Source organism: Homo sapiens, chromosome 22 (genome assembly GCF_000001405.40).
Source record: "Homo sapiens chromosome 22, GRCh38.p14 Primary Assembly".
Classification (NCBI taxonomy): Eukaryota; Metazoa; Chordata; class Mammalia; order Primates; family Hominidae; genus Homo; species Homo sapiens.
Window position 1 is genome coordinate 17,550,794 of NC_000022.11, and position 12,345 is coordinate 17,563,138.

Sequence of the window (12,345 nt, forward strand, 5' to 3'; positions counted from 1 at the left end):
TAGCCGGGCGTGGTGGTGGGCACCTGTAGTCCCAGCTACTCGGGAGGCTGAGGCAGGAGAATGGCGTGAACCTGGGAGGCGGAGCTTGCAGTGAGCCAAGATCATGCCACTGCACTCCAGCCTGGGCAACAGAGCAAGACTCTGTCTCAAAAAAAAAAAGTTATGAAGCATAGTCTTGAAACCAGTACCATTCAGCATAAAAACCAGTGTTCCCCTCCTCAGTGCCATCCTGTCATCTTATTGCTAGACCCTCTCTACTATTTAACATTTTGTCGTGTTTGCTTTATATGTCTCTAAATACCTGTTTTCTTTGCTTTGCTTTTTTTCCTAAGCTGTTGGAAAGTAAATTGTAGACATCATGGCCCTTAACCCCTCAATACTTGAGCATGCATCTCCTAAGAATGGACATGCCTTGGAGCACCATTTCAAAACGATTACCACACTCAAGGCAAATAACAGTATCTAATAGAGTTTTTGTTTCTGTTTCCTCAGTTGTCCCCAGAGTGTCTTTTAGAGTCGTTTCTTTGTGTTCTATTTTTATTGTTTTTTTCTGATAAAGGATCCAATGAAGGCTCATGGATTTGCATTTGGCTGCCGTGTCTGTTTAGTCTCTTAATTTATAGCAGTTGTCATATCTTTGTTTTGTTTTCCAAAGAGTCCAGGCCAGTTATCATGGAGAGTGTTCCAGATTCCAGATTCATCACACAGTCTCCTTGTGTGTAGATGAAACTCTTGTGCCAGGTGCAGTGGTTCATACCTATAATCCCAGCACTTTCGGGGGCTGAGGCAGGAGGATTGCTTAAGCTCAGGAGTTCGAGACCAGCCTCGGCAACATAGTGAGATCCTGTCTCTAGTGAAAATAAAGAACTTAGCCAGGCATGGTAGCACACACTACTCAGGAGGGTGAGGCAGGAGGAGCACTTGAGCCCAGAAGATTGAGGCTGCAGTAAACCATGATCCTGCCACTACATTCTAACAGGGTGACAGAGCAAGACCCTGTCTCTAAAAGAAAAAAAAAAATAGATTAAACACTTTTGTCAGGAGTGCAGTAGGTGGTGCGTGTGCGTGCCACTTACTGCCCCAGGGGGCACAGAATGTCGAGTTGTCCCAGTATGGATGATTCCAGGCCTGATCACCGGGGTGATGAAGGCAGTACCCTCGTGACTACAGTGTCTTGTTTCTTCTGTCGTTAACACGTCTTCATTAATTCTTCATTGCTTCTTTCTCGTGGCTGTAGAATGCAGATGCACCCGGTCCAGTCGCAGGCCTCGTTCCCAAAGACCCCCACAGCAGCAACATCACAGGAGGAGGTGCCGCCTCATAAGCCTCCAACACTTCCCCTGGATCAGGTAAGGATCACTAAAAATTAGAGCTGTTCTTCTTCCTCCAGGTGGTAGGAAGTAAGTATATGACAACCTTGCTGTTCTGAAAAAATGTTTTAAGGTATCCTGTGGATACAGGAACTTTGCCTGTATCGTGCTTCCTTGGCACTTGGAAAAAGAGCAAGAGGCCTCGGAAGTCACCTCTCACATGTCTCTTTTTCTTATTGTGATATGGAATGCATACCTATTTGGTGAGTATTTAAACCTCATTTTTTCCAAGCCATCTGCAAACATTTTTTCTGCCATGATCCCTTGTCTGTTTTATGCTTCCCACCTTTCTCATTGGAGAGAGACTAGTTGGTGGGTTTTAAAGTAGTAATAGCTGCCTCTGAGTGCTGCTTCTCTCCCATGCGTTGTCTCGTGCAGTGCTTCTCTCCCATGCAGTCTTTCCCTTGACCCCCACAAAGTAGTTCTCATTGGCTGCATCATCATCATTTCCCAGTGTGCAAGTCCTACTACTGTTAAGCACTGGGACTGGGATCTGAATTGAGAAGTCCAGGACTCTAGAACCTACCCTCTGGAAGTAAACTGTAACTGATGAAACAGAATCAAGCCATTTTCACACATGAGGAGCTTGGACATTCTTTGGCTTACTTAAGTTTTTTTTTTTTTAACAACCCAATTTTTATTTTTGTTTAAAATGTCTTTGTTTCTTTCAGAGCTAGTCCAAGGAGGAAATGAGCCCCAAGCAATGGAAAGCTGCACACGAAGACTGGAATGTGGAGAACTGGGGAGTGCCCTGTCAGCTCTATTCCCATCACCTGCTCCACCCCTTCACGGCGACCCACTCGTGCCATACTTGAGCTGGAGCCAGTCACGGGCCCTAAAAGGACACTCCTTAGATGACTGACACACAGATTGCAAAGGTCCTCGGCCAGGGATCTCTTGCACAGCTGATGTAGACAGTCAGGCAAAACTAATGAACGTGGAGTTAATGATGACTTTTCCAAATCCTGAGACACTTTTCAGGGAAAATCACTTTAAACTTGGGGGAGGGGGTATACTCAAGAATGGAGTGGTGCTTTTAAACTTTGATGAGCAGCTAAACTCAGGTATATATTTGGGGAAGGGACTACTCTTAGTATTAATGGTTTTGGAGCTGGGTCCAGTTTACAGAATTTTCATGTTGCCTTTTAAAATAATTTTTGTTGGTGGTGAATGTATTGTACATAAAGTGGGAAGGGTGGGTGGGGATGCGGAAGAAATGGGGGTCCTAACTGGTGGGCACACAGCACTGGAGTGATTTTTATCTGTTTACAATCATGTCACACTGAATACTTATGGGAGCCGGAGATGAGGGTAGGAAAGGTTTGATCTTGTAATATGTCACTGTGTTTCCTTAGTGGCCAGCCAGCCTTCAGAATAGCTAAAGGCCTTCCTTCCTTCCAGTCAGCCTGAGAGAGAACACCTGTCCCCTAAGCACCTGGTGTCTCCATTGGAGGCAGACTGCTCTCAGGAGACTACTAGAAGCTTCAGCCCGGAAGACAGGCTGCTCTCTCATGCTGGTGGCCCAAATTGAGAAAGTGGTGTCCCTTCCTGATTTTGCCACCAGCCCTACCGAATAGTTGTAAACCAGTATCAGGAATTGGGATCGCTAGAGTGTTTCACGTATTAGAAGATGAATCGTCCTCATCACAGACCTCCCTGTCAGGACTGTGATCTAGAAGGCATCACACACAGCTTTCTGGCACGAATCACATTTTGTGGAAGTGACTACTCAGGTTTGTATATTTTAGTATCAATAAAGAATTGCACAGGTTTGAATAGGAAAAATGTATTCTATAGATTTACAGTTTGAATTTAGGAATATTTCAGTATATATAGTTTTTATTCGTTTTAAGTGAATCATAGTAAAATCAGTCATGGTGATTTAAAATAGCTATCAAGAACAAGTTCTTGGAATTATCTGTTGTATCTGTGATAGGAAACCATTTTACAGTATTAAATTACTTTATTACAGTTGTAGAGTTGAATTACACTGGATTCTCCCTCGTTAGCATTCTGTATTTGATTTTAGCTGAAAGGTCACCAAAGTTAGGACCCATGTTTTAAACTTTTGAATATTCCACAAAAGAAAAAACTAAGGAAAATACTGAAATTACAGGTCTTTGTAAAGAATAGCATATTTTTAAGCATGCTTTTGGGATAGTAGAAGAGTCTCTATGAAATATTAATCTGCCCTAGTTTCTTATAAATTCAGCTGTGGGAGGGGCCAGTAGAGTGTTTCCCTCCAATTCCAGGATTCCTAGTGAAGCATGGAACTGTCGTGTTTACAGTTTGCTAAACATATGCTGTCCGTGGAAAAGGAAGCTAATCGGAAGCATCCATGATACAGAGAAATGAAAGCCAAGACACCAGTTCCAGGATGATGGAAGTTCATATCCGTACGCAAATGCTGAACCTGGTGCTGCTGCCTAGGGCTCAGGCAGATTTGAGAGTTGAGTAGGGAACACAGGTGCCTCTAAGGTATAATGCACAAAAATACAGATTTTCTCTCAGAGAGGTTTTAATTTTAAATTTGATGTATTTGCAAGTGGATTGAGTTTTGAGCCTGTGTTCTCACTGGATCCTAATTCTTGTTAGAAACCTATCACTGGCATAACCTGGTTTAGAAGAGTGAAGAGGACAGAAGGATTGTGGATGGGTCTGCCCTTTAGCTAGTATCCGCTAACATGGGGCATTACTACTTCAGTTTCTGTGTTTGTGCAGAAGCAGGGAGGAGGTAAAAAGCTAGTTTGGAGCTGGTTAGACCTGGTCTAGGCCCAGAGAATTTGGCCACTGACAGCCTTTCTCTTTTCCTGGTAATGCTGGTTTGAATCAGAGGCCTCTCACTTCTCCTTAACAGGAGCACTGACACTGTGGGCCTCTCCCCATGACTACCCCAGGGGCCTGGGTGGGAGTGGCTGTAAGCAGCAGTTGGGCCATTGCCCCCTTTCCTTCTGCCCTCGTGGTCCTTGAGCAGTTGTGTGCACACTCTTCCAGGTAATCCTGTCTCCTCTCTCTCCCAGTGACCGCCCCAATCAGCTGTTGCTAGAGCGATGCTGTGAACGATACAGGAAAAGTCAGTAAATCCCTTTATCCTTAATCTCCCTTCTTGGTTTTCGACAGAAAATATTAAGGAAGAGCAATAGGAAATAGAACTACTGTATTATAACACTGTGAACAAGAACATCAGCAGCAGCAGAATTGTCAGCCTTCCTGCGTCCTGTGTGGGAATGTGTCCATGCCTTATAGGTACTAGTGCTTCGTCCATTGTCCAGGGAGTGTCCTGAGCTTTCACTGGTCTTTGAAGTGCAGATCTGCTATAAGCTGTCTGGAGCTGCAAGGTTGCAGGAATCCACAGGAGCGTGAGCTGCTGTGAACCCCTAGCCCACCCATCCCCAAGCAGGATCTTCTTCTCACCTTTTCTTCCTCCTCTAGCACTTCTCTTTCCAAGTGTCTTAAGCAGATGCAATGTCTTAAAGCAGATGCAAATGCATTTGCCATCTTCTCCATTAGGAAAATGATGGTTATGTGATATGTTATATTTAGGAAGTAGTGTGTAAGGTATCCTGAAAAGGTTTGCTCTCAAGCTAGAAGGACATTTCACCCTGTGGGTCACTGTCACCTTGTCAGCGTGCCGGCTCTCAGTGGTCCCCAGGAGGATGGGGATAGCTGAGATCGTGGAGAATGGGAAATACCATTGCATCTCTTTGATTTAACACTCATGGCTCACCTTTAGTAGAGTTGTTAATAAGTTAGAAACTTGTGTCCCTAAGGCCCAAGAGAAAAGATGAGCTTCTTGGGAGGATTCTGGGTTTGTTTTCCCCTCAGAATTAAAAAATAGTTTTTAATTCAGCTACTTTTTCCCCTCAGTTAAAAGGTAGCAGGAGCTATTGGCTGAAATTTGTTACAGTGAATGAATGTGGAGAATAAATAAGAACAAACCCTGTAGGATTCTTGTTGACGTAACTTTCCATCCCACCTCTCCGCCTCTCCTTCATCACCAGCCTTCATCAGGTTGGTTTAGTTTACCTGGCCGTACACACGAGCTGCTCATCAACAGTTCGTATCTTCTCACTGAGCCCGGGCCAGATGCTCTCAGAAGGCCTTCTCATGCTCCTCTTCGTTAGGCTTAGTGAAAACCTTAAGACCTGCAGTTTGTGCCCCTCAGTTCAGTCAGACCTCAGCTTTAAATGTCGATTTACTCTGTCTTGTTCCCTGAAAGTGTTTCTTGTGACTAAGCATTTGGTGTCATTATCCCATGCCATTTATCTGCTGTATAGTTACTATATTATTTTTGCTGATTCCTACTGCTGGCAGATGCCATCCCAGGCCCACAAAATCCCAGTGTTGCAGTCACCACAGCTGTCAGAAACAAGTTTGCAATCCATACTTCTTGGTTCAATTTTTTTTTTTAATGGACATTCAAATCTGTAAATACTACACTGCTCTTAAGACCTGATTTGAAATTTCACAGGAAGGCCTAATCCTATAGTCACAAGGTAAGGACAGTTGAGTAGTGTAAGAACCCCAACCTGCTTGCAGAGAACCTTGGTTTTCATAGAAAGGAAAGGCTGAAGGTTTTCTAGCATTGTTGCCCTTCTTTGTCTGTCAGTCAGTTCACCCTCTGTGATTCTCCATGGACCCGCATTGCAGAAAATCAGTCCCATATATTAGTGAGCCATGTACTGCCCAATCCGGGGGCTCCTGGGGTGTGGTGTGTCCACCAGTGACTCTCCGGACACTAGCTTCAGTAAGGATACTTCTTATTTCGGTTGAGAATGCAGAGGCTTTTATTCGTGGACTCACATCACTGCATAGCACAAAGAATGTGATTGCCATTTGCTGCGTGAGAAAAAGCTGGGCTCCCTATTTCTTTTTTGGGTTGGACTCTGCCGTGCAGCCATAGGACACCAAGCCTCACGCACTTTCCCCTTGGGACAGTAGTGTTTGGGTGAATGTTACTGCATCCCGTTTTTTTTCTTTTCTTTTTTTTTTTTTTTTTTTTGAGACGAAATCTTGCTCTTGTCCCCCAGACTGGAGTGCAATGGCACGATCTCGGCTCACTGCAACCTCCACCTCCCAGGTTCAAGGGATTCGTCTGCCTCGGCCTCCCAAGTAGCTGGGACTACAAGCGCGCACCACCACTCCCAGCTAATTTTTGTATTTTTAGTAGAGGCGGGGTTTCACCATGTTGGCCAGGCTGGTCTCAAACTCCTGACCTCAGGTGATCCACCCGCCTTGGCCTCCCAACATGCTGGGATTACAGGCGTGAGCCAACACACCGGACCTTCATTTTTTAAATTAAGCTGGGACACAAGTTTTGCCTCCAGGCTGGATGTTGATCCTGCTCTGTGCTAGACAGATGTGCGGAGGGACTGTTCCGGGCTCGGCTTGACCTTTTCCTACCTAGTTTCTCCCTCTTGTCCTGCACAAGAGGACTAACTGAACTCTAACGTCAGAACGGCTGACGAGCAGTTGATTGTCCTTGCTTGTGTTGTTGACAGGGGTGGGTGGGGTGGGAGCAGGGGTATGGATATTGCATAAGTTATTGAAATGCTGACCCCCGTTCAGGAAACCATGCAGCCCCTTCCCTTCCCTTCCCTTCCCTTCCTTTCCCTTCCCTAGCCAGGGCTCAGGTACCTCACTCTCCTGCCTTGTGCGTAGCTCCTGGGGCCCCGGTCAGTCCCCAGCAGCCTTGGCACACAGTGTCTGGAGCCTCTGCTCCTGCTGCAAAAGCAGAAACCATGTGAACCTTCTGGCCAGTACTGGAAAGGGGAATGCTATTTATTTTTATATTGTGTATATTTTGTCGTGGTCTGCTGATTCCCTGTTTCACTGAGAGCGACACTTACCTCAATAGTTAGTTCAATATTGTGTGTTGGATAATTTTTTAAAAGAACTTTTTAAAAAGCTTTTTGATCCTTGGAGGTCTGTAGATTTATTTCCATATGAACTGGTTATTTTGTATAAAGTACATGCTTAAAATAGCAAGGCTCCTCTGTGTGTGTGGTGTGTCTGTCCATGTGTCATTTCCATATCAGGGCAAACCCAGACTTCCATCAGGACGAAGGCGTGAACTAGGCCACAAGGCCACCAGCTGAAATGCCACCCCTCGTCCATTCTCATGCATCCAGAATCCACGGAGGCGGGGCACGGGTCCTGTGCATGAGACAGAGGAATATGGTTCCAGAGAACTTCAAAACAGTCATGTACTGACTGGCAGTTCTAAACCATGTCAGGGATAAAACGCTCCTCACAGCCGATCCTTGCGAAGCTGGCCCGGCCGTCAGCATCTCACTGGTAAAGGCGTCCGCCTTCAGAAGGTTACTACACCTGAGGTGCACGACTTCTCTCCTTGCAGGCTTTAGGGTGCCTGGGATGGGAAAGGAGTATAACAGTGGGGCAGCGGGGCAGCTCCAGCCTGGAGCCCGCTGTGCACACACATGGCCAGAAGTGGGAGCTCCAGCCTAAGCAAGCGGGCAATCTTATACCTGCCAAGGTCATTTATGTTTTATTTCCAGTTACTGGGAGAACAGTTTGAAAGTAGCTTCATTCAGCCAGGCGCGGTGGTTCACGTCTGTAATCCCAGCACTTTGGGAGGCTGAGGCGGGCGGATCACGAGGTCAGGAGATCGAGACCATCCTGGCTAACACGGTGAAACCCCGTCTCTACTAAAAATACAAAAAATTAGCCGCGCGTGGCGGCACACACCTGTAGCCCCAGCTACTCGGGAGGCTGAGGCGGGAGAATGGCGTGAACCCGGGAGGCGGAGCTTGCAGTGAGCCGAGATCGCACCACTGCATTCCAGCCTGGGTGACAGAGTGAGACTGTGTCCCAAAAAAAGAAAGTAGCTACATTCTTAGAAATCAGCTACAGTCTTAAGACACCAGAACTCCTGTTTTGTCCTTAAATGCAGACTGTCCCAGTTTAATGATCATTCAACTTAGGAGTTTTTGAAAATGAGACACATTCTGCAGAAACTGTACTTGAAGTCCTCGTGCAACAATTCTCTTTCACCTTCTGTACGGTATTCAATAAACTCCATGACATATTCAACACTGTGTGATAAAGGAGGCTCAGCCAGGTGTGCTGGCTCACACCTGTAATCCCAGCACTCTGGGAGGCCAAGGCAAGTAGATCATATGAGCTCAGGAGTTCGAGACCAGCCTGGCCAACATGGCAAAAGCCTGCCTCTACTAAAAACACAAAAATTAGCGGGGCGTGGTGGCGGGTGCCTGTAATCCTGGCTACTTGGGAGGCTGAGGCAGGACAATCGCTGGAAGCTGGGATGCGGAGGTTGCAGTGAGCCAAGATCGCGCCACTGCATTCCAGCCTGAGCGACAGGAAGACTCCGTCTCAAAAATAAAAATAAAAAAGGAGGCTCAACTGTGGGCTAGCATAAGTTTGCTGAGCATGCTTGAGGCAGGCTAAGCTGTGATATTTGGTGGGTTAGGTGGATTCAGTGCATTTCCAGCTGACAATATTTTCAACTCATGATGGGTTTATCCGGAGGTGACCCCACTGGAAGCTGAGGAGCATCTGTAATTGGCTGTGGAAGTAATCCTCATTCCATAAAAATTTCACCACAATTAGTACCCGTTTCCAAACCCATGCTTGGGGCTGTCCCTTTCTAGGCAGTGATCTGTTCACTCTCCTTTTAACCTCCAGTTGTTTGGTGTCTGATTGTCCCCACTGATACTCTGTTGTTACTGGCTAACAAATTTTTGAGCCTTTTATCCTGGTATTATTTTAAAACTGTTCAGTTATTCTCCCATGAAAAGTGTTTCTATGATAAAACATTTTATGCCAACCGTACTTTCTTGTTTAGTAGTTGCATTTCAGTGTAATTTCTGAAACAAAACAAAAATCAACTTTAAAGTGAAAAATCAGGCTGGGCACGGTGGCTCACTTGATGTCAGGAGTTTGAGATCAGCCTGGCCAGCATGGTGAAACCGTCTCTACCAAAAATACAAAAATTAGCCGGGCATGGTGGCACACGCTTGTGATCTCAGCTACTTAGGAAGCTGAAGCAGGAGAATTGCTTAAACCCTGCAGGCAGAGGTTGCAGTGAGCAGAGATCGCACCACTGCACTCCAGCCTGGGCAAGAGTGTGAGATCCTGTCTTAAAAAATCACTAGTAAACCCCAGATCAGACATGATGCTACTCAAATTGTGCATCTCGATGGATTCTCCCAGTGGGTGGGGGGAGCACCACTCTGGCCTGGCTTCCTTCACTGTTCTGTCAGCTTTCCTAGAGCCCAGTCCAGCTGCATCAGTGGCTGGGATGGCGTTAGCAAACCCACTCCCTGTGCATATCAGCAGCACACCCTTAAAATGCATGCAAACTTTGATTCCTAACTTTCAGATTTCCTCCTACCGTGACATGAATTCTCACCAAACAAAGGCCAGAATGTTTTTTGACATATTTAGCTATTGATAGGCTTTAGCTCTCCCTCTCCCTCTCCCTCTCCCTCTCCTCACGGTCTCCCTCTCTTTCCACGGTCTCCCTCTCATGCGGAGCCGAAGCTGGACTGTACTGCTGCCATCTCGGCTCACTGCAACCTCCCTGCCTGATTCTCCTGCCTCAGCCTGCCGAGTGCCTGCGATTGCAGGCACGCGCCGCCACGCCTGACTGGTTTTGGTGGAGACGGGGTTTCGCTGTGTTGGCCGGGCTGGTCTCCAGCTCCTAACCGCGAGTGATCCGCCAGCCTCGGCCTCCCGAAGTGCCGGGATTGCAGACGGAGTCTCGTTCACTCAGTGCTCAATGGTGCCCAGGCTGGAGTGCAGTGGCGTGATCTCGGCTCGCTACAACCTCCACCTCCCAGCCGCTTGCCTTGGCCTCCCAAAGTGCTGAGATTGCAGCCTCTGCCCGGCTGCCACCCCGTCTGGGAAGTGAGGAGCGTCTCTGCCTGGCCGCCCATCGTCTGGGATGTGAGGAGCCCCTCTGCCTGGCTGCCCAGTCTGGAAAGTGAGGAGCGTCTCCGCCCGGCCGCCATCCCATCTAGGAAGTGAGGAGCGTCTCTGCCCGGCCGCCCATCGTCTGAGATGTGGGGAGCGCCTCTGCCCCGCCGCCCCGTCTGGGATGTGAGGAGCGCCTCTGCCCGGCCGCGACCCCGTCTGGGAGGTGAGGAGCGTCTCTGCCCAGCCGGCCCGTCTGAGAAGTGAGGAGACCCTCTGCCTGGCAACCACCCCGTCTGAGAAGTGAGGAGCCCCTCCGCCCGGCAGCCACCCCGTCCGGGAGGGAGGTGGGGGGTCAGCCCCCCGCCCGGCCAGCCACCCCGTCCGGGAGGTGAGGGGCGCCTCTGCCCGGCCGCCCCTACTGGGAAGTGAGGAGCCCCTCTGCCCGGCCACCACCCCGTCTGGGAGGTGTGCCCAACAGCTCATTGAGAACGGGCCATGATGACAGTGGCAGTTTTGTGGAATAGAAAGGCGGGAAAGGTGGGGAAAAGATTGAGAAATCGGATGGTTGCCGTGTCTGTGTAGAAAGAAGTAGACATGGGAGACTTTTCATTTTGTTCTGCACTAAGAAAAATTCTTCTGCCTTGGGATCCTGTTGATCGGTGACCTTACCCCCAACCCTGTGCTCTCTGAAACATGTGCTGTGTCCACTCAGGGTTAAATGGATTAAGGGCGGTGCAAGATGTGCTTTGTTAAACAGACGCTTGAAGGCAGCATGCTCGTTAAGTGTCATCACCACTCCCTAATCTCAAGTACCCAGGGACACAAACACTGCGGAAGGCCGCAGGGTCCTCTGCCTAGGAAAACCAGAGACCTTTGTTCACTTGTTTATCTGCTGACCTTCCCTCCACTATTGTCCCATGACCCTGCCAAATCCCCCTCTGTGAGAAACACCCAAGAATTATCAATAAAAAAATAAATTAAAAAAAAAAAAAGAATAACAAGAAACATCTATTCTCTGTTTTCCATACCCTAAGCTTGGTTCTAAGCACCTTATGTTCATTGACTTATTAAATTCTCACAACATGAAAAAAAAAAAAAAAGATAGGCTTTAATTTTTCTTGAGACAGGGTTTCACTCTGTTGCCCAGGCTAGGTACAGTGGCATGGTCTCAGCTCACTGCAGCCTCAATCTCCCGGGCTCAAGCAGTCCTCTCACCACAGCCTCCCAAGCAGCTGGGACTACAGGGGCACCCCACCACACCCAGCTAATTTTTTGTCTCACGATGTTGCCCAGGCTGGTCTAGAACTGAGCTCAAGTGATCTGTCTGCCTCAGCCTCCCGAAGTGCTAGGAATTACAGGCGTGAGCCACTGTGCCCGGCCTTTATTTTTTATAAGGAACTTAGCCATTTAGAGTGCTTCCAGATTTATCTTCTTCGGGCCAAAACCAGCAACAAATATATGTACCAAAAGTTAGCATCTTCCACTGGTTAACTGTTTCAAAACAGTGCAGTAGGCAGTGTAAATGTGGCTCTATTTTTGGAACTGTTACTGTTTAACGCTTGTTAAGCATCCTGGGTAAATATATCTTACACAGATAATCCTACACAGTGAGCTTCTTAAAATAAGAGCATAAAAGCTACTCGGGCAAGATTTAGGGAGACAGGAAGCTATACATTGTTACTGTAGATTAGTCTCAAAAGTTCTGATCAACTTTCTATTTTGACATTTGGAGACATCCATAGGTGCTTCTCTTGTTAAAGATTAATGTCTCTTGTCTCTAAACCAATTCGTGTTACTGGAAGGAAAGGCAACGCAAGTTTTATAAATCAGCCCCTTTGTGGGCTCCATTTTGCTATACTCTATGTTCTCTGAGAGTGCTACCAACGGAATTGAGAAAATAACCATCCAGACGGGCTATTTGGGGGCTGATCTTTACCCTGGAATCTTCCTGGAAGGTGAACGGCCTATGTCATGCAGTTGTTATGCAAGAGGTATCATGGGACCTTTCCTTCTGGGCGCTCATGGAGCCGCGGCAGAGCCCTGGGTGACCCAGCAGCAGCTGCCTGCTGTGTGGCTG

At 47.5% G+C, this 12,345-nt stretch overlaps 1 protein-coding gene across 12 annotated transcripts in view; it reads left to right on the forward strand.

Moving 5' to 3' along the window:
• The window catches only part of CECR2 (CECR2 histone acetyl-lysine reader), a 198,203-nt gene extending 190,845 nt beyond the window's left edge, over positions 1 to 7,358 (forward strand). For all 12 annotated transcript variants that reach the window (NM_001290046.2, NM_001290047.2, XM_017028785.2 and 9 more), the window contains 2 exons: positions 1,238 to 1,349; positions 2,042 to 7,358. In NM_001290046.2, the coding sequence (NP_001276975.1) occupies positions 1,238 to 1,349; positions 2,042 to 2,047 (118 nt within the window). In that variant the 3' untranslated portion in view covers positions 2,048 to 7,358. The remainder of the gene's footprint in view (positions 1 to 1,237; positions 1,350 to 2,041) is intronic.